At 34.1% G+C, this 27,499-nt stretch overlaps 1 protein-coding gene across 4 annotated transcripts in view, besides 1 other annotated feature; it reads left to right on the top strand.

Annotated features, from left to right (window-relative positions):
• Positions 1-27,499, top strand: part of FSTL5 (follistatin like 5) — a 780,104-nt gene that overhangs the window by 4,539 nt on the left and 748,066 nt on the right. The window lies entirely within an intron of this gene.
• Positions 10,905-11,074: an enhancer, noted in NCBI's record as "experimental_75588 CRE fragment used in MPRA reporter constructs". NCBI's record gives its function as "activates a minimal promoter by MPRAs in K562 erythroleukemia cells, with activity observed for the introgressed 4:163069625 variant allele {active_cell/tissue: K562}" and the evidence as "EXISTENCE:reporter gene assay evidence [ECO:0000049][PMID:34662402]".

Below are 27,499 nucleotides of genomic sequence, written 5' to 3'. Positions count from 1 at the left end.
TAGTGAGTTCATTTGTATGTCAATACATAGAATATTATTTCAACTCATAACTAGTTCATTGCACAAGTAACAATTCCAAAGCAAAAGATTTAAAAATACTTCTTCATTGAGTTGTATTTAAATATACATTGTAATAGAGAAACTTACTTTACTGATGTATTTTCTCTGTGAATGTAGCACCAAGGTAGCAATTAAGACATACATACAGTAGCAATTAAAACATACACACCTGAACTATATTCCCCAAAGATGATGATGAAATGGAAATAATTTACCTTTTGTAGTTGGACCACTAGATATTGTTTTTTTGTCTCTTGAGTTATTATTATTTTTAAAATTCCAAAACCCTAAAAGTAAATGTCCTTACATGAAAACACAAATGCCTACCTGCCCTCTGTAGTTACATGTCCCTTTTCTCAAAGCCACAGCAATTGCTGTGACTCTACTGTCAATCAGACTCTGAGCTGCCTCACTTAGGATTATGGAATCTGGCTCTTCATATTTCTAAAGAAAAAGAAGCAGTGAGTTGGTACTAGTAAAGACATTTGTTGCTTCATAATGGAGTGTCTATTGGTATCATTTGGTCTTTGATCCTGAATTTGCTTTTTCATCTGGGAAAAGGAATAAGATAGACATAGATACCATTCAAAATATTAATAGGTATTCATATATATTTTATTGATATCAGGCCATAAACCCATATTAAGTAATGTAACATTTGCATGGCTTTGTAAAGATTGATACTATTGAATTCTTAATTACTCATATGAATATAAGAAAGCAGAAATTCACATCAAATCTCCATACCACTGTATCCTATGGTCACACAACTAGGAATAGATGAATTAGGGAATCAAACCAAGTTTACATGTCTAGTACCTCTATTTAGGTCAAAAGTCCAGTAACTAGCTATATCATTTTCAAAACTAATCATTTTTACTATGATAATCTCTTTACTATATGTAAATGCCTCTTATTATTTCCCCAAGACTATTCCTTAATTATTAAGTCATTGAAATTATTTTATAGCGTATATTCTTTAGTATACACACTTTAGAATACATAATACCAAAGACCTTAAGGGGTTTTCCCTCTGTATTTAATGTTATAAAGATGCTACATTAATTGACCTCATAGAATATTCAAAATTTTAGCAGCAGCCAGTGTTTCCCTTGGTGCCTCAAACAGCATAAGAAACAACAGAATAGAGTAGATAATGTTTCCTAGGAGTTCAAGTTGTTTTTCTTTTTCCCTTAAAAGTCCTACTGGAGATGAAATTCAAACACTTGGTGAAATTTAGACCATTTCAAGCAATCAGCATTTGTGGTATCAACTGCTACTCATACGTAATCCTTCAGATTACTTAGCTACTAAAGTTTTGAACAGTCTGTGAGATTAAATCAAGATTAAATAAAATAATCAAAACAAATGATTAGCTTTGAGGCACAGCACTAAGGAGGTAATCTAAGGCGGGCTCTTGAAGGCTTTGGAAACATTAAATACTTTATTCTATTGTTTCTATCTAATTGCATTTGATGTAAAGGGAAATACTGGCCACTAGCTGTTGCTCTTTGTTTTCATATAGCATTTAGGGTGACTGAGAAAGAGAAGAGGTGACTGCTGTTAGCAGTAATTATAACACAGCTCCCAGGTGTGCCAGAAAGTTGCATCAGACTCCCTACTGAATCCCCATTATACAAGTTTTTGGTTGTCTTTATTAAGTGGATCCCAAAGGAGATAGAAAAGTTTGATTTTCTTAAGAATGTTTAACTTTAAAGTGGAAAGCGTATAGGGCCTTTTATTTTATATTTTACATATTGGTTAACAATAATCAATGTTTCACTTTTGACAAGAAGTCTGGCATAAATGTTTTTAATCTTGGAATTTTTACGAGATTGTGTATACCATTCGTGTAACTCATTGTTCCTGATTCTCTGTGGAGCCCTAGGAAGTCTATTCACTCCAGCAGCTACAATTATCATCTCTTCACAGATATCCTCCAAATCTGTAGCTGTGACCCAGATTTGAAGTCCATTAATGTATTTACAAAGGTCTGCTGGACATTTTAACTCTGATTTCATGGTGACAGCACAAACCCCATGAACTCATGATCTCATCCCTAACATGATCCCCATTCTATTTTTTTTCTGGCAGTCAGTTGATGACAAATTCTCCTTCAATTTACTTTGGTCTAAAAATTTATAAATATTTAAAAATTACATTGTTCTTCCTATACAATACGCAGCAGGTACACAACTTTTACATCCCTCACTTTATCATGTAGCTTTGTCTGATTCCCTATTCTCTATTTTTCTCTTATCATTTTTACCTTGACCCAGACTGTCCAAACTGAGACAAAATTATTTTGACATTCTTTGCACTAGTCTCCTTATTCTTGTTTCTTCCTGCTGTAATAATGAGACAAAATTTCTGATGATTCATAAAATCCTGTGCATAGTCTTAAGCATTTATAAACACAGTTTCATTTTATATGCATAACAGTTTATAATGTAGATATAGGGAAACCATCTTTTTTTAAAAAAAGTTAAATTATTTTTCAACTGTTATTTTAGATTCAGGGGATATATGTGCATGCTTGTTACCTGGATATATTCCCTGATGCTGAGGTCTGGGGTATGAGTGATCCCACCACCCAGGTACTGAGCATAATACCCAATAATTAGTTTTTCAGCCTTTGCCTCCCTCCCGCCTCTCCACTCTTGTAGACTCCAGTGCTTGCTATTGTCATCCTTATGTCCATGTATATACAATATTTAGCTCCCACTTATAACTGAGAACATGGGATACTTGGTTTTCTGTTCCTGTGTTAATTTGCTTAGGATAATGGTCTCCAGCTGCACCCACATTGCTGCACAGGACATGATCTTATCCTTCTTTATGGCTGTGTAGTATTACATGGTGTATGTGTACCACGTTTTCTTCATCCAATCTACCATTGATAAACACCTAGGTTGAATCCATGTCTTTGCTATAGTGAATGGTGCTGCAATGAGCATGCAAGTCCATGTATGTTTTTTGTAGAATGATTAATTTTCTTGTGGCTATCTACCCAGTAATCGCATTATTGGGTCAAATAGTATTTCAGTTTTAAGTTATTTGAGAAATCTCCAAACTGCTTTCTTCAGTGGCTGAAGTAATCTATATTCCCACCAATAGCATATAAGATTTGCCTTTTCTCTGCAGCCTCACCAGTATCTGTTGTTTTTTGACTTTTTAATCATAACCATTCTGACTGGTGCGAGATGGTGTCTTACTGTGGTTTGATTTGCATGTTTCTGATGATTGATTTGTGACGTGGAGCATTTTTTCATGTTTGTATGTCTTCTGAAACCAAGTCTTAAGGTATTGCCCACAGAGCTGAGACTTAGACCAAGTTTTGTCTGAAGTCAACTGCATGATCAGATCCTACTCTTTATGTCCTGCTGTTACAGATTTCATATCTTCTCTGGATTTCTCTTGATTAAAATATGCTTTAAAATGCCACTGTGTTCAGAAATCATCATTAGATCTCTAATTTTTACATTAAGTTGACACTCTCTGCTGCTTTAAAGATTCTTCTAATTGGTTCTACACCCTGCAAGTAGTCAGCCTGCTTTTCCATTTTCTGATATGTGAAATGCACACATGCAAAACAAAGATAAGTTAAAATCTAAACCATCACATAGTTCCTTACCTCTGTATAAACACAATGTCCTGTCTGGACTGTTGTACTTTCAAGAATCCCTGTTTAGGTCCCACTCTTCTGCATTCAGTCAAAAGTTCTTATAGTTTAAGAGCATACTGTGCTCCCATGTGATTTTCAGAGTTGTTGCAGTTTTTGTTGCAGTAAATGTCATGTCAGTGTCACTTTGGATCTCATCAAAATGTTCATGTTTTTAAAACATATGTATGTTTTCTGTTGTGACATACAAATTATCACAGACTTAGCCACATAAACATTTATTATCTCCGGATTTCCATGAACTGTGAGTCTGGGTACAGGTGAGCTGGCTCCTCTGATCAGGACCTCACCGTCAAGGTTTCTGCCAGCCCTGGGTTTTTATTTGAGGCTTGAGATTCTCCAAGATCACCTAACAGTTGGCTGGATTTGTTTCTTTGCGGCTCAGAACTCATGGAGACTTGCCTCTTCAAGGTCGGCAGAAGAATTAATCTGACTGCTTCTGCTTCTGACCTCTAACCCGGCTTTTAAAGGCTCACTTATCCAGTCAGGGCCAGCTAGGGTAATCTCCCTTTTGATATACATTTAATTACATCTTTAAATCCCTTCCTTTTTGCCATATAATGTGACTACAAGAGCAATAGCACATTACCTTTGCCATGGTCTATTGGTCAAAAGCAAGTTATAGGTCCTGCCTACACACAAGGTGAGGTGATTATACAAGAGTGGGTGTCACTGGGATTCAGGTAGTGTTCTGCCTACTGTACCTGGTTGAAGTTTTACTTAAACCTTGGTCTTTATTGCTTGAATGCCACTGGGCTTTTCTTTCTAACCCTAAATTTATCACCTAAACTGTGTAGTAGACAGTCTGGAGTGGCTTTTGGATTCGTTAATATGTCGTAGGCTGTTCTTCCTAATTAAATCTTTTATAGGAAGAAGCCTAGAAACTTCTTCTGTGTGTAAAAAAAAACCTGCATAGTTTACAATTACTTCATATATATATAAATTAATTGATCCACATTGGATTTTATTCTCTTTTTATGCTTGCATTTGTTACATAATGCTTTGTACATTTAGGACTATAATAGATTTATAATGATGGATTTGCTTAATGTTTTTTGATATTAGAGTTTGGTCATCTGCTGTGTTTTCCCATTTTTAACTTTGGTCTCTGACTGAGAACCACACAAAGGATATTTTATTATGAACTTATTGCATGCAACATGGACTATTTTCATGCAAATCAGAAACTTGTATTTAACATTATATTTATGCTCTTTTATAGATAACATAGTAATTATGTAGAAAGTGAACATGATATTTTACACTTGCTATTTAGGAAAAGTGCAAGAAATATACTTTAGATTTACTTTAAAAGAAAAACTTCAACATTTGAAAAAATGTCATGTTCATAAGATCTTCAACAAAAGATTTACATGCTATGGATACTTTTTTCTTGTTTATGTAGTCTAAAGATTAGTAAATTATTGGGCAATGATTTTTACTAACATTAATTACACAGAAAAAAGCCATTGCACTTGCATCTTTTATATACAATTAAAACAATTTTATTTTGACAAAAGCTAAATAAAGATAACTAACTAAAAGGTAAATTCGATTTTTCATTCTTTTATAAGCAATACTTTAAAAAATATTATTGAGATTATAGCTATTTTGGCTGGGTGCAGTGGCTCAAGCCTGTAATCCCAGCACTTTGGGAGGCCGAAGCGAGTGGATCACCCGAGATCAGGAGTTCAAGACCAGCCTGGCCAACCTAGTGAAACCCCATCTCTACTAAAAATACAAAAAATTAGCTGGGCATGGTGGCAGGCACCTGTAATCCCAGCTACTCGGGAGGATCAGACAGGAGAATCACTTGAACCCAAGGGGTGGAGGTTGTGGTGAGCCGAGATCATGCTATTGCACTCCAGCCTGGGCAACAAGAGTGAAAGTCCGTCTAAAATAAATATAAATATATATATATACATATACATATATATGTATACATATAATATACATGTATATATACATGTATATTATTATATACATATATACATATATTATTATATACATATATAATATACATATATATTATTATATACATATATAATATACATATATTATATACATATATAATATACATATATTATTATATACATATATAATATACATATATATACACACACATATATATAGTTATTTTAAGAGAAATAAATTAGTTCAATAAATATATTAAATACCTGCTGTTTCAGGTACCCTTTCAGGTGCTGGGGATGGGTAGCAATGAGAGAGACAGAGTACCTGCCCTACCCTCTCTGTAGTAAGATAGACAATAAGCAAACTAATAAGGCCAAAGTGTAATATAATATCTGGCATTGATAAGTGTTCAGGTAAAAAGTAAAACAGGTAAAGTATTACTAAGGGATAAGAGTGCTACCTAAGATTGGAGTTATCATAGGTTCCATCTTCATGCCATTCTGAGGAACCCATTAAGTAATTTCTGATTGAAGTTAAGATTCCTTATCATTCTAAAAAGGGTATGTTTTTATCCATAATTATAACTGAGAAGACATGACATTAGTAAACCTCAGGGACTTTAACAAAGAGTTTATCATCCAGTAAGAAGTCAATACATTTAGGGTGGAAGAATGTTGAATACTGAACATCTACTCACAAAATAGAAGTTTATGATTATCAAGTATTGATGGGATATAATACCTTAAAATCCTCTTGAATGAACTTCAATTTGTAAAATTCTATTCAGTTTTAAATGACAAATTGTTGGCAAAAACCGGAAGGCACATATCATGAAAAAAGTAATTACTTTTTGTGGTTTTCTTGTTAATGAAAATTAGCTTTCATTTTTGTTTGGCACTACAATGTATTTGAAATATGTTGTCGGTTTTTTTTTTTCTTTCCAGTTTTAAACATACTATACAGAGCATGTTGCAACTAAATTCTGGGACTTAAAGCTAATTTCTGAGTATAAATTTAGACCCTTTTAGCATTGTGCAGTTTGTTTGTTCAGAACTTCACATTTTTTCATAGAAAATTTAAGTTCTCTAAAATGTATGTTCCTTTAAGGCAATGATTGAGTGAGCTGGTATTTATGTCAACGATTCATTATCCCAGACACTATGGCATTATTAGGGAAAGAGAAATGCTTACAACACTTTTTGGGTTTGTGCACATGCTTGAGAAACTACAGTGATTGTTTGTTATTATGAAATTGCTTTGTTTATTCAAATAGTGTGACATCATGGGACTATGTAGGGAAAAAAGCAAAAGAAATAATAGTAATAAAAATACATCTATACCTTTAGAAAATAAACGCAAAAATTAAATGCACAATATCTCAATCCTTTGGCAGAATATCAAGAGTTAGTGCGCTTACAAAGAAAATAAGACTTGAAAGAAGTGCGTGAATTGTGCCAAAGATTTTCCTGAATTATTTCCTTGGTGAGATTTCTCATAAAGCTATAATTAATTGGAGTAAAAATCATTAAAAACTGAAGAGAAAGTTTCTAGAAAATGCTTTGCATTTAAAGTCTACTTCTTTACAATTCATGACAACAACGATTTCAAATTAATACCCTCTGCAACTGTTTATTTTCTTTTAGCCAGTGCCCTGTTTCTCTACATGTCCTGAGGCCTGAGAAAGTCGAAGGGCTTTCATTCTGTTTGTTTCCCTGTCTGTGCACAAATAGTACAACTTAATTGATAATGTCTGTAGTCGGACTGTGTGCCCAGCTGTGAAAACTGCTCTGGATGCTACTCTACTGGACTTCTGGTTAATTATACATGTTTTGCTGAACACTTCGGTTAAATTAAAAACTGTCTAAAAATCAGTAGAGGGAGCTCAAGAAGGCATTAAGAATATTCTGATTCTGGCCTTCTAGTGCTGCTTTGTTTTGCCTCAAAAATAGTCTTCAGGTAGAGCAAATAAAGGTATTTTTAAATGCAAAATAACTTTTTGAAGTTGCAAAATTCGGAATTGTTTAAATATTTGAAGAAGCCACACTGTTTCTCTTGAAATTGCTGTGTCCTATTTATTATTGGCCTTAAATGGATTTGATTTATAAATGGTTAGGACACTATGGAAACCCTGCTGTGTGATACTCAGGCTTTTACTGCCCCAGTTTCTAGATCTTAACACTGGGCTCTTGATCCAGAAAATAGAATGTGACAAGATGCCAAGTATACAAGAGACTTCTGTAAAGCACCAGCAGGCTTAAATTAATCTGTGATAGTCATTAGAATATGGCAGGTCACATCCTAAAATTTTGCTGTTTAGCTCAACTACAATGGACTTAAACATCATTTTTTGTTCTATTTCAGAACCTTTCAAACTTTTAAAACTGGCACAAAGTTAGAGAATATCAGTCTTCAGAAACTGTTAAACAGACAGTAATGTTTTGAGTTAGCAACTTCATACCAAGGACCGTGTCTCATATTTATATACCTTACATATTTGAAAATAAAAACTATCTCAAGTTATTTTTGATTGGGAAGTTGCTACATGATTTTTAAACATTCTGCTCAAAATATAAAACCTGCTAATTTAAAAACTTTTTCCAATTAAATTTTTTTCTTTTTTCTTTTTATCAGAGAGAAAGAGTATCATATATGCCCTAATGATTCAGTTGAATACCTCCATTGGAGCATTCTGGAAAAAGAAACAAAACTGGATTTCTAATGATTTAACATAGCTTCATGTGATAGTGTTATTCATTCCTGATTTCATACTAAAGTAATTGATTTCTCTATAATGGCATTTTTGCAATTAGTTGATCTTTCCTATATGAAATTTAAATTTAACTGCAGCACATGTGATTTATTGAGATTACATTAAGGCCAAATTTTAGTAAAATTTGCTATTATTTGGCATGCAGTTTTTATGTAAATGTCTAGTGATCTACAAACTTTTGAAACGTATATTTGAAATTCAGTTATGCTTTTATTATTATAACATTTCCCCAGAAGTTGAATTACTTGGTAAAATCACATGAACACTTTTAAGTAATAGGAATAGGTATTGTCATATTATTTTCCATGATGATTACATCAATACATTCAGACTAGCAATGGTTGAGATATTATTTAACCACAGTGTTGGGTGCCATGATTTTGTTGAGTAAAAATGCACTCTGGATTTTTATTTACATTTGCTTATTAGTGAATGTGATGTTTTAATGTTTTTTTCTGGTAGTAATTCTTCTGTTGTAACATTTCTTTATGTCTTTGAACATTAACTTAAAAGAATCTTAACTTCATTGTACAGAATCAATGAAAATAGATGCCAGAGAATAATAATAATTGTTTATTGAACAATTATTGTACCTCAGACACATTTCTAGACACTGTTAATTTATTTTGATAAAACTTTAGAAGAGCATTTAAGGTAGAACCAAGCTGACATCAAGGTTTCTGGGAGGTTACAGCCCATACTGCCTCAGACAGGAAGCACACATGTTTCTCTCTGGCTCAAAAGGCTCCAATGATCTCTGTCTTATATTAAGAACTCTGTGGCTTTACTGTTATATTTTCCATGTAAACTGATTTTTCTTCCATGTCGAAAGTCTTCCTTTAAAAACATTAGGCCCAGTATGTCTTTCTAGGAAGCACTTGGCCTTCTCAAGTATGTCAATATTTATTCAACATAACTTATCTCTTGAATATCTAGGATTCCAAACAAAATATATTATTCTGATACAATCCTGATTAGCCAATATTCTTTAGGAAGTTCTAAACTGTTAGCAAAAACCAAAAGCACCACAAATTAAAAATTTCCTTAATTTAGAGGAAAAATAAAACAAATTTTATTAATGTGGTTATATATCTGTTTTTCATTCAAGACTTACCACTAAATGGCAGAATAGTGAAACTTCTATTTCAGGCATACTCCACATGTTTTTTCTTAGTAACAGATGTCAAACTGAACGTAGTATTGAAACTGAGTTACAAATTAAGTAAAATCATAAGGTAGCATTTCTACCAGGAACAAAAATATTTTTCAGAAGCACGCTATATGTGTGTGCTTATATATATACATATATACATATACACACACAGATACAAATATATAGACAAATTGAAACTACATGGACTTTTTTTATTTTTTATTTTTTGAGAGACAGGGTCTTGCTCTGTCACCCAGGCAGGAGTGCAGTGGCATGATCGCAGCTCACTGCAGCCTCCACCTACTGGGCTCTAGCGATCTTTGTGGGGGATGATGCACATTAGCCCTTCAAGTAGCTGGAACCACAGAGATGCAACAACACACAGAACTAATTTTTTTTTTTTAAATTTTACATTTCTTTGTAGAGATAGGGGTCTCTCTGTGTTGCCCATGCTGTTCTTGAACTCTGGGCTTGTGAGCCACCACACCTGGCTAAATTTTTTAAAAAATATTTTTATATTTTGGACAGATGGTTGGTCGGCAGGGTACAGTCTCTCTATGTTGCCCAGGCTGGTCTCGAACTCCTGACTCAGCCTGGATTACAGGCTTGAGCCATCAAAGTGCTGGGATTACAGGCGTGAGCCACCGCACCCAGCATACATTGACTTTTAGTGGGAAGAATCTTTTGTATGGGTTTCATTTCAATTACTCAACACTTCCAGATTTGATGATAATTCTAAACAGATAACATTCAGACACTTCAGTTTTTGGGAGTGTTTTCAAAACAATTTTTGAATATTAGAACTCTGTGGGCCACAGAGCCATGATCACATGGTAAATGACACACACATACAAAAGATTTTGGTTTTGACCTTGCAGTATTTTTCCTCAAACAAGTTTGGCTAGAGTAATCTCACACTGTTTTGTTTGATTGATTGCTTGGCTTGTTTTACATATAGTCCTTTCAGGGTGCCTACTAAGTCTGTTGTTTCTGAAGAGTTCACTCACTGAAATCACTATAGCACTTAAAATTCATTTAGAATTATAGATGCTGCATTCATTGAAAAATGGTTGATCACTTCTTATTGAAATGCAGGTTAATAATGCCTGACTCAGAAAATACAAAGTACAGTAATAAATCACGTGCACTTTCATATCATATTTAGAAGGCATTATAAAATAATGTTACATGTGTAAGATTAACACAATAATCTTTTTGAGGGTATGAACTACAAAGATGATAATTTATTATTGACAGTGGACATGCTAATCGTTTATTTTGAAAACCTATTTTTATAATGTATAAATGTATATATACATCATCTTTAAAACTTCTAATTAAATTAATAGGTGTTTTTAGACCTATTAATATGCAGATAAGTACATTTTCAATAAAGCATTATGTTGATATATTAAAATTTGAGGACTCACTGGAATCATAAATATATTAGATATAATGATTGAAAATGCATTAAAGGTCCAAATTCAAGACACAAAAGGAATTTAGGATGACACAATAATTATCACACTAAAAAACACAAATAGTGCATTTTTTTCTCAGTGTATTTTGGATTGTGTTCAGCCATTTTTCAGTGACAGGCTAGTTGAGATATTCAGAGGGAAGATTTGGTCAACCAGCTTGGAATTGTCTAATTTATTCACCAAGTCACCTAACATGGGAAGGTTCAAATAGCTTCAATGTTAATATATTTATTTATTAGTTGGAGATATCAAATTTCACTAAATATTGAATAGTAATCTGCCAGATTCAAGGTAACTCAGGTTGTGGCTTAAGTAAAGGTGGGTTGGTTGGCTAGGTATAAATGTCTTTTATTTGCCTGAGTAATCTTCGTATTTCAAACATTAATTGTTTTTTTGGAGGCAGAGTTTCGCTCTTGTTGCCCAGGCTGGAGTGCAATGGCGCAATCTCAGTTCACTGCAACCTCTGTCTCCTGGGTTCAGGTGATTCTCCTGCCTCACCTTCCCGAGTAGCTGGGATTACAGGTGCCTGCCACCACGCCCAGCTAATTTTTTGTAGTTTTAGTAGAGATGGGGTTTCACCAACGTCTGGTCTCGAACTCCTGACCTCTTGATCCACCCACCTCAGCCACCCAAAGCGCTGTGATTACAGGCGTGAGCCACCGCTCCTGGCCCAAACATTAATTTTATAGATACAAATGAATAAGAAGTAGAAAAACTAAGGAAACAATGCAAACAATAAAAACTTTCTGGAAAGCCTCTTCAAAGAAAAGATAGTAAACTGATCTCAAGGAGAACTGTAACTTACAGAGTACACAAAAATGTGACCTGTATGAGGATTTATCACTTTATTTTGTATTTTCTTATAGCAATAGAGTGATTGTATAATTCTGTACTACAAATAAATCTTACTGCTTTTGTTATTGGCCATACTTTAAAAAATCAAGCATGAAAGAACAATTGTAGATTTAAAATCTACCTTTTGCCTGTTGTGAAGACAGCTTCTTGTGAAATGCTTCTTGATGTTGAACTTGTTCAACATTTTTTGAAAAGTAGTATTTTTATGTTAAGTTAGGGAATGTTAACTAAAGAGAAATAGGAGAAACTATTTCTTAGTTTCTTAACTTAGAAACTAAGAAACTAATTTCCAGATTAACTAAGAAACTAAGAAACTAATTCCCAGATAAGAATATTTATAAAATTTTGAAGGAAATAGAAATAAGAAAACAAGTGAAATCATAGTTAAGAAGAGCCTAGAGAAACAGGATAACTAAATTTCATTTTATGTTCTGAATGGGATCTTCAGAAAGAAAAGGATGTTAGGACCAGGTGCGATGGCTCACACTTGTAATCTCAGTGCTTTGGGAGGCCGAGGGGGGCAGATCACTTGAGGTCAGGAGTTCGAGACCAGCCTGGCCAACATGGTGAAACCTCATCTCTATTAAAATACAAAAATTAGCCCAGGCATGGTGGCGTGCGCCTGTAGTCCTAGCTACTTGGGAGGCTGAGGCAGGAGAATCACTCAAACCTGGGAGATGGAGGTTGCAGTGAGCCAAGATCCCACACTGCACTCCCGGGCAACAGAGCAAGACTCCATCTCACACACACACAAAAAGAAAACAAAGAAAGAAAGAGAGAGAGAGAGAGAGAGAAAGGAGAAAGAAAGAAAGGAGGGAAGGAAGGGGAAGGGGAAGGGGAAGGGAAGGGAAGGGAAGGGAAGGGAAGGGAAGGGAAGGGAAGGGACATTAGGTAAAAAACACAGAAACTCAGAATAAGGTGTGCCTCAGTTAATAGTAAGGTATTGGCATTGGTTTATTAGTTGTGACAAATGTGTCATACTAACATGAGATGTTAACAATAGGGAATACTAGGTGTTGGGTATATGATAACTGATATATAGTATATGTACCATCTTTGCAACTTTTCTGTAAATCTAAAGCCTATTATAAAATTTAAAAAATGAGTGAAACATAAAAACATGTTATAAAAAGGTTCTTTTAGCTATAGATATAGTGATGTCAGTATGGTATTAAGGAATTTACTCTAGAAAGGAAATTCTATTTTTGATCCTTCTGTTGGAATAGATTCACAACAAAGTGACATGGATGTTTCAGTTACAAGGGAAATATTCTTCAGATGGATAGACAGATAGATGCATAGATTCATAGATAGATATATAAATACATAGATATGGACATTATATTTACATAGATATCTCCATTCAAGTGTTAGAAAGAAAACAACATTGGGTGCTTAATTGGTTAAGCTTTAGGTTCCACAAAAATCACTATTATTTCCTTTACTATCATGCATATAAATAAGAAATTATCAAAACAGGAATCTTTTAGTTATAAAAAAATCAAAATCTTAACTATTATTATGAAACTGTGAAATAGTTTTAGTCTGTTTATCTCCTCCTAAGTATTGCATAAACTACTGTTTCATGATCTGGTCACAGAGATTAAGTGAAAAACATTCCCACTTAAACAAATCACTTTTTTAGAAAAAAGTTTAGGAAATTCAAAATAGTCTCTCCACTGGCCTTGGAGAATCATCATACACATCAGGACACTCTAAGCTTTACCACATTAAACTTCCTAAAGTTTGGTAGAAATTATTAATACTCACCAATGTTTTTGATTCTCTAAACTATCTGAGCATATGGAAATATTATCCTAATTCTTCCTATGTTAGGTATGGCCATGTGACTTGTTTGTTCAGTAAAATAATAGAAAAGACAGCATTATCTCCATCTGGGAGTATTTAAGAGCTGATGCATGATTCTCCGTTTTTTTCCCTTATTATGGAATATCCTCATGTCCATGTTGAGACAGGGCTGTCATGAGATAGGCTACTCTTCATCAGTTTGTTTTTAATAACTTCATGGAAAGACTTTTCCTTGCCAACCTTCAGTGCATATGTAGGGAAAACGAGAAATACACTTTTAGGTCCCTGAGATTTGGGAATTGCTTGTTGTATAAAATAGACAATTATGACTATAAATATTGTATGGAAACCTCTTTAAATTTGCATTTTATAGATATTTTGAAAATAGAATTGTATTTCTATCATACCTATCAGTAACATCCCACTTACGCTTTGTGTGTTTTTAGATATACATTTTGATTCTTATTTCCTAAAGCTCATCATGTTGAGATAATTTAGATATTTCCTTTTCACTACTTAAAAAATAAATTCTCATATTTTATATGTTTATGGCTATCTTTATAGGTAAATATGCATGCCTATAGAGATTTACATTTGTGTATGTGTGTGCACTGGTAATGAATATGTGTGTATTCATTACATATTCATTGTATGTATATGAATATACATTGTATATTGTATTCATTGTATATGAATATACATACAATGAATATATATTGTATTCATTGTATATGAATATACATACAATGAATATATATTGTATTCATTGTATAATGAATTGTATAATATGGAAACTTATTTTTTAAAATTTAGGGGGGAGTCTCACTTCTTAATTTACCACCTACAGGAATAATTTTGTGTGAATGTTTACCATTTAAAAGTAGTTTTACATTAGACAGCATACGTTTTTATAAAAATTTACATAAGAAAATTCCAAACAAATAACAAATTAAAAAAATTTAATGAACCACATTATAATTATATGTATACACCATATTTCACCTAATTCTCTTTGCTTTTCTGTATTGGTATCTTACTGCAATATGTATTCACTTTTTTGTGGATCATTATATTTGTCTAATCAATTTTTCAAAAGAACCATGATGTTCTTGATGTTTACAACCTCATCACCAAGAAGCACTGCTTTGTATTTGGTGTCATCATGCAGACCTGACAAGGCTGTTTAAAATATTAAGTTGAGTTTGATTCCATACTAATCACACACTCTGTATTTGAGTGATTGCATGCATCATAGCATACTCTAACATGTCTGATTGTAGTGAATGGAATGAAGCTCAAATAGTAACTTGGAAATAAATTTCCATTTGGAATAGCCTTGTAGGAGAAGAGTTCAAATTAAATCCTCTTAGTGCATTAAAATGCAAATATAAGAAGGCAATCCAATTGAGTTACATCGATAATAGAACATATAACACAAATGGAAATTCCTCCCAAATAATTAAGTTATAGCTATATAAATCACTGATGTGTGCATTTGAATTTTGTTCCTTGCGTACATGCTTGAAAGTTCACTAACTTTGGATCACATTAGAATATGTTTTGTTTATCTCCCGCAGACCAGTCTCTAGGCAAGTTCTTTTCTCCACTAAGGCCAATGAAGCCTCGTCCCTGTTCTTCACTGTGTTTGCTGTGCTATAACTAAAGCTTTAAGCTCTGCCAGCAGGTTTTGTTTTAGACATAATTATAGAAGCTCTTTACTTGGGCCATCACCCTGCGAGGTTCAATATCTTGAGCTTTTTTAGTAAATAATTTTGACTCTAAAATATGCATTATCATGAGAAAAATAATGTTTGTACTTCTGTTATATAATCTTGAAGGGAAAAATACAAAAAACTTGAGATAGTTCTGCTTGGAAACTCTGCAAAGGTATTTTTTTTCCTGCCGTGTGTGTTTGTATGTGTGTGTGTGTGTGTGTGTGTGTGTGTGTGTGTATTTAAAGTCAGATACAATGTAACCTTTTTTCCTGGGTGTGTGTGTGTGTGTGTGTGTGTGTGTGTGTAAAGTCAGATACAACGTACCCTTAGCTTTTAGGATTTAGGATTCTAAGCCTTAGTGTTTTAAATAGTTTGTAATGATTTAAAGATCCAGATGCCCTAAAATATTCAACTTATAACAATTATGGAGGGCAATTAATATTGCAGTAAAAAGAGAAAAACAGAAAATAATATGCTTTGGACATTTAAATTGATAATGATGCTAATTTTATATGCAATTAGCATGGAGCATTAACAATGGTGTTCACCTGTAAACATATGAAGGATTGCTTTTGGTCTTGCAAAACAATCATTTGCTCTCAGCTTTAAATTATGTAAGAAACACTTTTAAGTGATAGCATACATCCATAATTAAATATTAAAATAAAATAAAATTGAATTAAATCAAATGGAATTTATTTAAATTTAGAACACTTATTCCAATGCCTAAATATAAATCAAGGTAAAGTCAATAATCTTTACAAGTTAGTTTTTATCATTGTAATTTAATATCTCTACAAGAAACAAAATGACCTAAGTAAATAAAAATTACAGATGGCTAATTATGGAAAAAAAATAGAGGTATTGTTTGAGTTAATTTTTCTAATGTTACCTATAATCAGATATCAGCATTTTTTAGCAGGAGGTATCTCTCTTAAGATATTGCTACACAATTACAGACATAACATTTAAAGCTTTAAATGATGATGACAATCAGAAATATCCCAAGAACGAAGTAGTTGATTTTCTCATTAAATAATAATGATAGTAACAGTTGTCATTACTTGAGAGCCTAGTGTGTGTCAAAGCAATGTATTAGGTATTATGCATACATAATCTCATTTAATTGTTAAAACAGCTTCATATGAAGGAAAGATTACACAGATGAAAGCTGAAGTAGAAAGACTAAATAATTTGACTAAAGTCACATAGCTAAAAATTGACAGTCAAAATAAAATTCATGCAGGTATGCATGTTTATGACTGAGAATGCTTGTTCTGTCATCTTTTACCTTTCATAAAAATTGGAGTATATCAATAACTATATTATATCTTCTCTTAGCTACTCAAAGGCATTGCTCCAAGGGTCCCCCATTCTTTTTCTTCCTTATCAATTTGTATCACTGTCCTGGATCATTTTTATTAGCATGAAAGAATGGTGCTATTGTCACTGTCTTTAAACTCAACAAACTAGCAAAACTCTCTAGATCACGATTATTCTTCATCTGTCATTCTGTTTCTCTTCTTTATTTTATGCCAAAATTCATTGATGAGCTGTCTCTATCCACTGTCTCAAATTTCTCTCTATATATTCTTTCTCAAATCTACTAGACCATTTCTTTAATTCTATTTCCATCAAGGTCAGCAATAATTTACAGATTATTAAATACCTTGGGGTCAATTGCTAGCTCTCAATAATGCTTGAACTATTAGATGATTGGCCATAGCTGAGATAATTTTCTCATCCTTCAAACATTTCCTTTACTTGCCTTTCAGGACACCACACTCTCATTTCCTCCTGACCCTCAGGCCACATCAACTCAATTTTCTCTGCAAGATCTTTGCCCCAACTCCAAAGCCAGGTTTCTTAACAAGGTCCTAAATTTGGTACCACTGAGATTCTGGGTGGGTAATTATTTATTGTGGGGGTTGCCCTACACATTGTAGGATGTTAGGCAGAATTTCTGACCTCTACCCATTAGATACAATAGCACCTTCATTTCCCATTGGAACAACCAAATATTCAGGACAAAATTACCTTTGGTGGAGAACCACTGCTCTCAATGATGGAATACTCTCAAGCTCTTCTTTCTACCTGTGTACACTTTTTTCTACCTGTGTACACTTTTTTCTACCTGTGTACACTTCTTTCTACCTGTGTACACTTCCTCAGTACTCCCATTCATGACTTTCAATACTTGCTATTTGCGGCTTGACCTCTCTCTGTACTTCCACACTTGTATATGGAACTGCTTTCTCTACATATACATTTGAATATCTGTGAAGCCCCTCAAACATAAGTATCACAATCTGAACTGGTTATCTTCTCCTCTTCCCGCCACCGCCACCAAAAACATGCTTGTCCTGCAGAATTCTCTGCTTTTCTAAATACTTGTCTTAGTTCATTTGCATTGCTCTTCAGGAATACCCAAGCCTGGATAATACGAAGAAATAAGGTTTATTTGGCTTACGGTTCTACAGGCTGTACAAGAAGCATGGTGCTAGCATCTGCTTCTGGGAGTTATCTAAGGAAGCTTACAATCATGGCAGAAGACAAAGACAGAGCAGATGTATCACATAGCAAAAGAGGGACCAAAAGAGAGAAGGGAGGCCGGGCGCGGTGGCTCACGCCTGTAATCCCAGCACTTTGGGAGGCCGAGACGGGCGGATCACGAGGTCAGGAGATCGAGACCATCCTGGCTAACATGGTGAAACCCCGTCTCTACTAAAAATACAAAAATTAGCCGGGCATGGTGGTGCGCGCCTGTAGTCCCAGCTACACGGGAGGCTGAGGCAGGAGAATGGCGTGAACCCGGGAGGCGGAGCTTGCAGTGAGTCGAGATCGCGCCACTGCACTCCAGCCTGGGCGACAGAGCGAAACTCCGTCTCAAAAAAAAAAAAAAAAAAAAAAAAAAAAGAGAGAAGGGAGGGAGGTGCCACACTCTTAAGCAACCAACTCTTGAGTGAACTAATTAGCTAGAATTCACTCATTACTCCCATTGACTTCCAATTTGAATGGCCATTCTTAAGAGATCTACCCCCATGACCCAAACACCTCCCACCAGGCCCTACCACCAACATTAGGGATCAAATTTCAATCTCAGATTTGAAGAGGACAAATATCAAAACTATATAAATACTTATGTTAACATCTTGGGGTCATATTAACCTCCTTTCTTTCTTCTACTCCTCATATCAGATTCTCCAGCAATTCTTTAAGGTTAACATCAGAATACATGTCAAACCTGTATATTGTTTTATCACCTCCACTGCTGTTACCTTTGAACAAGTCAGCGCTATTTCTACATCGATTATGTTACTCTTAAGACTGATCTCCTTGCTTTTTTATCTCTATCCTTAATGTATTATCAATACATCAGTCTGAATGATCTTATGAAACCTAAGTCAGGCAATTTCACTCATCTGTCAGATCCTCCAATGTCTTCCTATTTTATTTAGAGTAAAAGCCAATGTTATTAAAATGAGCTGCAATGACTTGCTCAAACTGGTCCTCACCCCTGTTAACTCTCTGACCTCACTGGATTCTTTCCTTATGATGACTTGCAGCTTTCATACATTAGTTTTTACTGTTGTAAAGATTCAATAGTTAAAAATAAAACCAAAGTTTCCTTATCCACTAAATTAGTGATGGGCTCTTGGGTTGTTACTGGCAATTTACTATTAAAAACAATGTTACTATAAATATTTGTGCATATATTTCCTTGAACACATGTGAGAATTTTCTAGGGTATTCCCACAGGAGTAGAATTGCAAAGTAGGTGAATGTTCAACCTTACTAGACATGGTGAATAGCATTTTAAAGTGATTGTGCCTATTTACATTCTCATCAGCAGTATGTATTTTGGTTGCTTCCTATTCTCACTAGTACTTGATATTATCATGCTTTTTGAAAAAAAATGCCAACTGGTTAGAGTGTAACAATATATTCCTAATATTTATTGGCATTTACCTAAAAATAGTGAAAGTGAACATATTTTTAGATATCAATGAGTTTCTTTTACCGTTTTCTTTTTTACAAAATTCCTGCTTAGGTCTGTTGTCCATTTCTTCATGGAGCTTTTTGATCTCATGCTGTTGATACAAATTCTTTGCTGATGACAAAGATAAAACAAAGATCTTCCAGTTGTACCATGTCTTTTTACTCTCTTCATGGCATCCTTTGATGTAGTGACATTCTTATTTTTGTCACAATATAATTTGCAGTCTTTTATGATGTGTGACTTTTGTTCCTTGTTTGAGAATTCCCTCCTTACATACATTATAAGGAAATTTTGCTGCATTATGTTTTAAAAGTTTCATAGTATGGCTTTTCATAGTTAATAGATGAAGACTAGATTTTATACCTTGTGTCAGAGAGAAATTAATTTTTTTCATATAGCTATTCAACATTCCTTGCACAATTTGTCAATCACATAATTCATCTTCTGACATTTATGTGCAAAGTCTGCTCAGGAAAAAGGTAAAATTTTATGTATGCTGCCTCTAACTTTCGCCTAATGTGGTGTATATGTGTATGTGTATGTGTGTGTTTGTGTGTGTGTGTGTGTGGGCGTGTGTGTATACTTTCATGATATGTCTTGAAATATGGTTTGAAAAATCATCTCCCTATTCCTTCTTCAGGAATTTCTCAGATGTTCTTGGCCCTTCCAATTGTCCTTGAAATTAAAATCTGCTTATCAAATCCTACAAAGAACTCCATTAAGGTATATGTGGCCATAAAGATAGAGATAATAGATACTGGGGACTCCAAAATGGTTTCCAGGAGTTGGAAGGGAGGGGAGCATTAAAAATTATCACCTGGGTACAATGTTCATTCTTTTTCTGATGGGTACACTAGAAACCCAGACCTCACCATTACACATTATATTCATGTAATAAACCTGTACATGTACCCCAGAATGTAAAATTTAAAAAACAAGTAACTGAAAAGATATGGGGAAAAAAGAAACCTATTAAGATTTTAATTGGAATTGCACTAATTCTATAACTCAGTTTGAGGAATATTGATAAATTTATTATAGAGAGTTATTTCCAAATGTTTCCATTTATTTAAGTATTATTTAATGTTTTCAATAAAATATTTAATTTCTTCCGTAAAGGGCTTCTACATATTTTTTATTGGCATTCTTCTGTCAATTGAAAATACATCAAATACGTTTTCTGATGGAATGTGGTAGTCTAAAGATTTTCGATTTTGTGTTGCATGTCAGATTTCTCTTTCTTCTTTTGTTTCATCAAATCTTACTTATTCTAATAACAAAAATACATTTAGGATTTTCTTTGTAAACAAGTACTTTATTAAAAATAAACAGGGTTTGTCTAAACTTTCCAATTATTACAGATTTTATTTTATTATTTTTTTAACTTCACTGATTAGGACTCCAGTACAATCCTAAACAGTATGGGTAATAGCAAGCATTTTCCTTTGCTGCTGGTCTTATTAAAATTTATCTCAGTAAGTATGAGAGTCTTGATATTTTTTCTTTTTACATTAAGAAAAATAGATGTCTTTTTAAAGATTAAGGATTTTCCTTCTATTCTTAGTTTGGTAAGAGTGTTTATCATACGTTGACTTTAATTTTATTAAATGCATAGTATCTGCATGCACTGAGATGTGCTCTAGTATCAGATTCACTGTCCTTTAATCTGTAAATGTGGTAAATTACAATAACTACCAATCAAACTAATTAATTCAGCTAATTACCTAATAGAAGTTCTGTAACTCTGAAGAGTTTTCTCCATCACTGTAATTTCTCCAAAACTGCTTCAAATTCAGAATAGAGCTGGATTATTGAACTTCACATATTACTTAGTACATTGAAGAGCAAGAAGGCTTCTGTAGATATAAATATAAGTAATATTACATGTATATATATTTTACTTTCTTATTTCTGCTTTCATGGTGTTGCTTTTCAGCTATCAATGACTTAAGCAAAATTTTTAAAGCTTGCTACAGTTCTTATCTTTTGCTTCTCTTTCTCATACCCCACCTTCCCACCAGCTCTCTGAGTACCCTTGGAACACAGGAGTCCCCCAGCTTGCCAGGAGACTATAGTCACTGACATATGTTTCACACTTCCATTACCCCTAAATGTACTTTTTATCCTCCCTAAAAGCTTAGGTTAATTGACCTTACTTTGTTAATGAATGTGTTAGTTTATGATATGCTAGCTATGATATTGCTTTTCGATAGAAATATAATGGTATCATATAGTTATAATTAGCAACACCTCTGGAAAACAAAAGCGTTTTTTGTCTGTAAGTTGTGAACATGTTGGTAGACAGGATAAACCTTTTCCAAATGCTATTTGTTCCAACTTTTTCTTTTTTGCAAATTTGTAAATAATACAAATGTCTACTGCCAAAGAAGGACAACTTATTCAATCCATCAGTTAATGAGCATTTGTTGTGACAAACTGAACTAGTCATTCGGGCAAAAAAGGCAAAGAACAGTCTCTTATAAAGAAATCCTGTAGTGAGGGGACAAATTTCAGATGTGGTTCCAAATGTTAAGACAGATTTTGTTATATATGTGTGTGTGTGTGGTATGTGGCCACTAGCCACTTTGTTCTTGTGTAGCTAGAATTCCTTGTTCCTAAAGCAAATATTACCTTCTAATTATAATCTCTGTAAATAATCCCCCAGGTCCTGGCATATTGGATGACTAGGCAGTCTTTAGATTTTTAATATGTGAACTTTGCTAAGATGTGACCTAGGAAATGGCTGATAGAGATTTGACATTAATAAACTATTAAATGTGCATATTGAGATATTTTGGTACATATTAAAAGTATTTATTTTGTGGAAAATATTTATCAGTTTTTGTTTATTTCTTGCTCAGAGAATTATGATGATGACTATTGATTTATAGCCAAGGTAGGAAAATAGCTGAGAAAAAGTTAAAGTATATTTTAAACATGTATTCTCTCTTGTTTAGTATGGTTCATTTTTTTCAGTTTTGTTTTGCTTAATACCCACTATATGTAACTGGGTTGCCTGCATATATTTATAACAGCCTGTTTCAAAGTTTCATCACAGGTCTATTTATCCCTTAAAATGTTCTTCTTTTAAAAAATAGAAATTTTTGTTAAATATGTTTAAGAAATTCTGCATACTACAGCTTCCTTTTGGTGTTTCCAAAACATATTATCATACTAAAGTCTCTGAGAAATGTTTCAGGATTTTTTTTTAATCTCAGCATTTCCAAACCTTATTTAACCATCTAAGTCTGTTTTCTTTCTATATAAATATCCAACTAATACATCACTAGTGTTCTGCAGAATACACTTTGGATAATATAGTTATAGGTAAGAAATGTATAATTTTGCAATAATACTTTAAACTGAATTACTTCCTTTTGGTATATGAATGGCTATATCTACAAGCTGGATTTTTGGCATGGATTCACAGCCTTTTTCTAATGTTTTGGGCTCATTGATCCACTGTTGTAGAGTTCTGTCTAGGTTTCTTGGTTAATTCTCCAACCAAGTCCCCATCTCTATTCCAATGAATTTTATAGGAACCCTTATATCTACAACTCCCCCCACTCTAAAGATGTAAAATCGAAATTTGACACACTCTCAGTAAGTAGTTTGGTTTTCTCATGCATTTACCTCCAAAGTATTTATCATGACCCTGTGAATCCTTCAGACTGATCTTCAATTCCTCTCCTTTTCCTCTAATAACCGGGTTCTCATCATCCCTTACAGTCTTGCCCACTTCGGTATGACTATTCCTAAAGATCTCACAGCAAGATGTTAAATATGCATGTTGAGATGTTTTGGTACATATTAAAAATATTCATTATGTAGAAAATATTTATCAATTTTTATTTATTTCTTGCTGGGGGAATTTTGGGGTGTGGGAGAGAGTGTATTTTTTAACTTAAGACATGTTTCTGAGATATGGGTGTATCACAGTGGAAAACTACAGTACTCAGTCACATTTCTGAATTTGGGGAGAGAAGATCTGTAAAGGATTTTGATTTAGGAAAGATAATATATATGGCAACCAGAGTCACAAGAGTGCATGAAAAGCGAGATAGAATGTGAAAGATGAAGATCTAAAACAGAAACTCATTAGCATAAAATGTGTATAGAGAACAAAAGAAAAATGAAAGAGATTTTTGAACATCCTTCCGAGAAGTAGTAAAAAATCCAAAAATTTTAGTGCCATGAAATAAAATTCAGACATTGTTTTAAGATTAAAGACTCGATCATTTATTCAACAAAATATCTAGAAAGCCATTTTATCTGCCAGGTACTACACTGGTGCTAGACTACAAAGATAAACAATACAGTTATAATCTCTGATCTCATGGAGCTTAAAATACCTTATACCCAAATATTTGGGAAAAGCCAAGGCAGATGAGAAAGTAGTAAGAGGGGCCATTCATTAACCTTAACAGCAATGAGGCTAAAAAGGACCCAGGGAGATAACTTTTTATGGAGCAGAGGTGGAATAAGCCATATTGAAATTGATTGAATGGTAAGGCATTTTTATTTTAGGTTATATGTATGAAGAAAAGATGTAAATATACCAAACTATGAGCTTTCATTGTCTCTAGGCTGTGAGATTGCAAGTTATTATAGTTTTTCTTATCTGTATTTTTCTCACATGTATTTTATAAATGCCTACAATGAAGGTATACCCTTTGTATTAAAAAACATATAATTTATTATAACAAAAGAAAAAAGAAAAACTACCTTATTGAAATAAATTATTATGTTTTAAATATAAATAAAATTGAGGTATAACATCATAGACTAATAGTTTGATAAACATAATGAGTTTAACAAGAGTATTCAAACAAATAATAACAATGAGAAAACTTGAGTAAACCCACTCTGAGGACCTCATTGTTCTGACTGGCTCCATAATGAGCTAATTAAGTGGAGAACTGCAGAAACTCCACTTGTACTATGCTGACAATTCACATTTACCAAACTAAGAGCTGGTAGTTTTTAAAAAGTAGTAATCAAAGCACTGATTTATGTAGTTTCCAAGTTAGCACATGCAAATGCTTTCAAAACGTAGAATAGCTTCAATTCCCACCAGTTTAGCAGCTGACATGATTATGTTCATGAATCCTCTAGGAAATTGAGGAAACGGTAATAACAACCCTACTTAACAAGAGAAGAAAAGGACTGCCTGGCTGACTGTATAAGTTTCCTGTGTTAACACTGATTATAAACATCGGTGGTGGTAAACACAGCCATTGCATAAGATTGAGTTGTGAGCATTTATGGGAAAATGAGATCAGCAGCCATGATTCCATTCTATTAAAACAACTCCTCCCAGAACTATGTAAGATAATACCTTTGTTGTTCTCTCTTCCCTCTAGCAAGTGAATGGGACTATGAAATTACAATCTCCATGAGCTAAATGAGAAAGGGTTAAATTGTTAATTTTTCTTCCAATGGTACTGTAGTGTTTAAAAAATATACCTTGGAAACCAAAGAGTTATTAAGTTGTTTTGTTTTGTTTTCCAGGTATATTTCATGAACAAATGAAAATATTTTTGAAATATTCTCAGGTGGTCTACCATGTCATTTAACAGAAAATAGTGTGTAATTGCTAGCCTGAAGCTCATCAACCAATTACACATTAATATGCAGCTTCTAATATATAAGACCGCAGGGGCAGTGAAATCACATATTTTAAAACTGATTACTTTGAGTTACTCAGTACACCTCTAGGTCCCTCTGACAAAAATTATTCTCCCTCAGGTCACTTCCACTAAGCCTCCATGGCCTGAGATACCACCGTGCTTAAAATATCCAGGATGATTCTTATTCCTCAACATTTTACAATGCAATAGCCCAGAGATGGAGGTGAAAGAAAATAAACTGGATATAGTAAAAAGGAAGAATCACGGGAAGTATCAACTAGAAATTAGAGCTCTAAGAAACCATGGCGATCACCCATTCCATGTTTTAAAGTTGACAGACAAACACCAAAACAATTTCAGTGATTTACCCAGTGAGGCACAAAGTTGGGGCCAGATCACAAGTCCTTCAGTGCTAAGATTAATTGCCCTTCCAATGGGAGCATCATGACTCTAGCTGTCGAGAGAGGCAAGGTCGTCAGAGAATCTCAGAGAACAACTGGTTGGCATTGGCTATCCAGGTAAGAGAGAATCCTTACTGAGAAGAAAGGAAGTTGAATTTCTCTAAATGTATGCTAAGATCTCTATCCTTTATCATTATAAAGCTGCTTTCTTAATGTTCTTTAAAAACAGACACAGAAGAATTGAAGCATAATTTTATGGCTCCAACAATAACACATTTAGGAAGTTTTGTCATTTTATGGTAGACTTTCATTCATTCACTTATTAAATATATATCAAGAGTCTACCATATGACTGGCACCAGCTGAAATACTCACCTTATGTACAATAAGGGCTATATTTTAAGGTGTCTGAATGTTACCAGTATTTATATTAAACAAAAATCTTACATAGAATGCCAAAACTAAACAAAAACAAAACAAAATGAAAAACACGACTTAGGTGAGAAGAGAAAGAAAGCATTGAAAGTTAAAGAAAAAGCCATCAATTAACAATGACTGCCTCTCCTACCTGGTGTGCTGTAAAAACATGAGTAGGAACCAAAAGAGCTGAGTTTTAGGGTGACCTTGTAACATACTGTCTGTGTGACCGTGGAGAAGGTACTCACCGACTTCAGCCTCACTCGTGCAATCATTTACTGCAGACTAGACTTTTTGTTCTTCCCTCACTTTCAATGCCATTTAGACTCAGAATACTGTTAGAAGTTTAAATGCATATGAAAATAATTGATTGCGTTCAACACTACAACCTTCTGAACAATATTAGAACCATCCTGGCTAACACAGTGAAACCCCGTCTCTACTAAAAAAATACAAAAATATTAGCCAGGCATGGCGGTGGGCGCCTGTAGTCCCAGCTACTCAGGAGGCTGAGTGAGGTAGGAGAAGGGCGTGAACCCAGGAGGCGGAGCTTGCAGTGAGCCGAGATTGCGCCACTGCACTCCAGCCTGGGCGACAGAGCGAGACTCCGTCTCAAAAAAAGAAAAAAAAATTACATTACTACCACTTTTTCTGCTTAACTTTGAAATTTCTAATAATTAACAAAGGTCCGACTTCTAAAAATTAGTTATAATCACCTAATACCATGTGAGAGTTTATAGTTTCCAGGCTGACAATCTGGGAGCCAACCTCCTCCTCTAGAAGATAAAATGGAGGTAGCTTCACCTGGAGAGCAGATGGTAAAAATTCAAAGATAAATTCAAATTATCTGCAATTTTTTTGAGTGCAGCTTCTTCTTCATGTTCTGAAGATTATTTCAAGAAGCAAAGATAGTTTGCACATCTATGCAGTAGGCATAGATGTCCTATTGCCAAACTCTGAGGAACAATGTGAAATGTAGGTATTTTTGTGTCCGGAATTGGTGGGTTCTTGGTGTCACTGACTTCAAGAATGAAGCCACGGACCCTCGCGGTGAGTGTTACAGTTCTTAAAGGCGGCATGTCCGGAGTTGGTTCCTTCTGATGTTCCGATGTGTTCGGAGTTTCTTCCTTCTGGTGGGTTCGTGGTCTCGCTGGCTTCAGGAGTGAAGCTGCAGACCTTCGCGGTGAGTGTTACAGCTCACATTTTTAATGCCACTGACAATTGCATCTCAGTTTAGAAAGAATGGATTTTTAAAATTCTCAAGTGTGCCATATTTTGCCTCTGATGGAGCACTGTAGTGCCTACAATTGTTTTCTGGCCCCAACCCTATAAATGAGGGTACTTATATAGATAACAATTCTGCCTGCCCCTGTTTAAGTAGAGAACACCTAAACTTAAACACTGAAATCACACTGTTTATTTCTTAATGTTTTAAGAATGCTGCATAGTCACCCACAGATAATCTGCTAGACTTTGGTATAGAAGTTTTAATTCAAACGCTTTGAGGTTAATCTATTATTCACCTGAGTATAGCAGATATGATAGAGCAGTGTTTCACAAGTCTGAGGCTTGCGCCACCTATATTGCAATCACCTGTGATCCCTGTTTAAAT

Source organism: Homo sapiens, chromosome 4 (genome assembly GCF_000001405.40).
Source record: "Homo sapiens chromosome 4, GRCh38.p14 Primary Assembly".
Classification (NCBI taxonomy): Eukaryota; Metazoa; Chordata; class Mammalia; order Primates; family Hominidae; genus Homo; species Homo sapiens.
The sequence above is the reverse complement of the archived record's forward strand: the minus strand, read 5'-3'. Positions and strand labels throughout refer to the sequence as shown.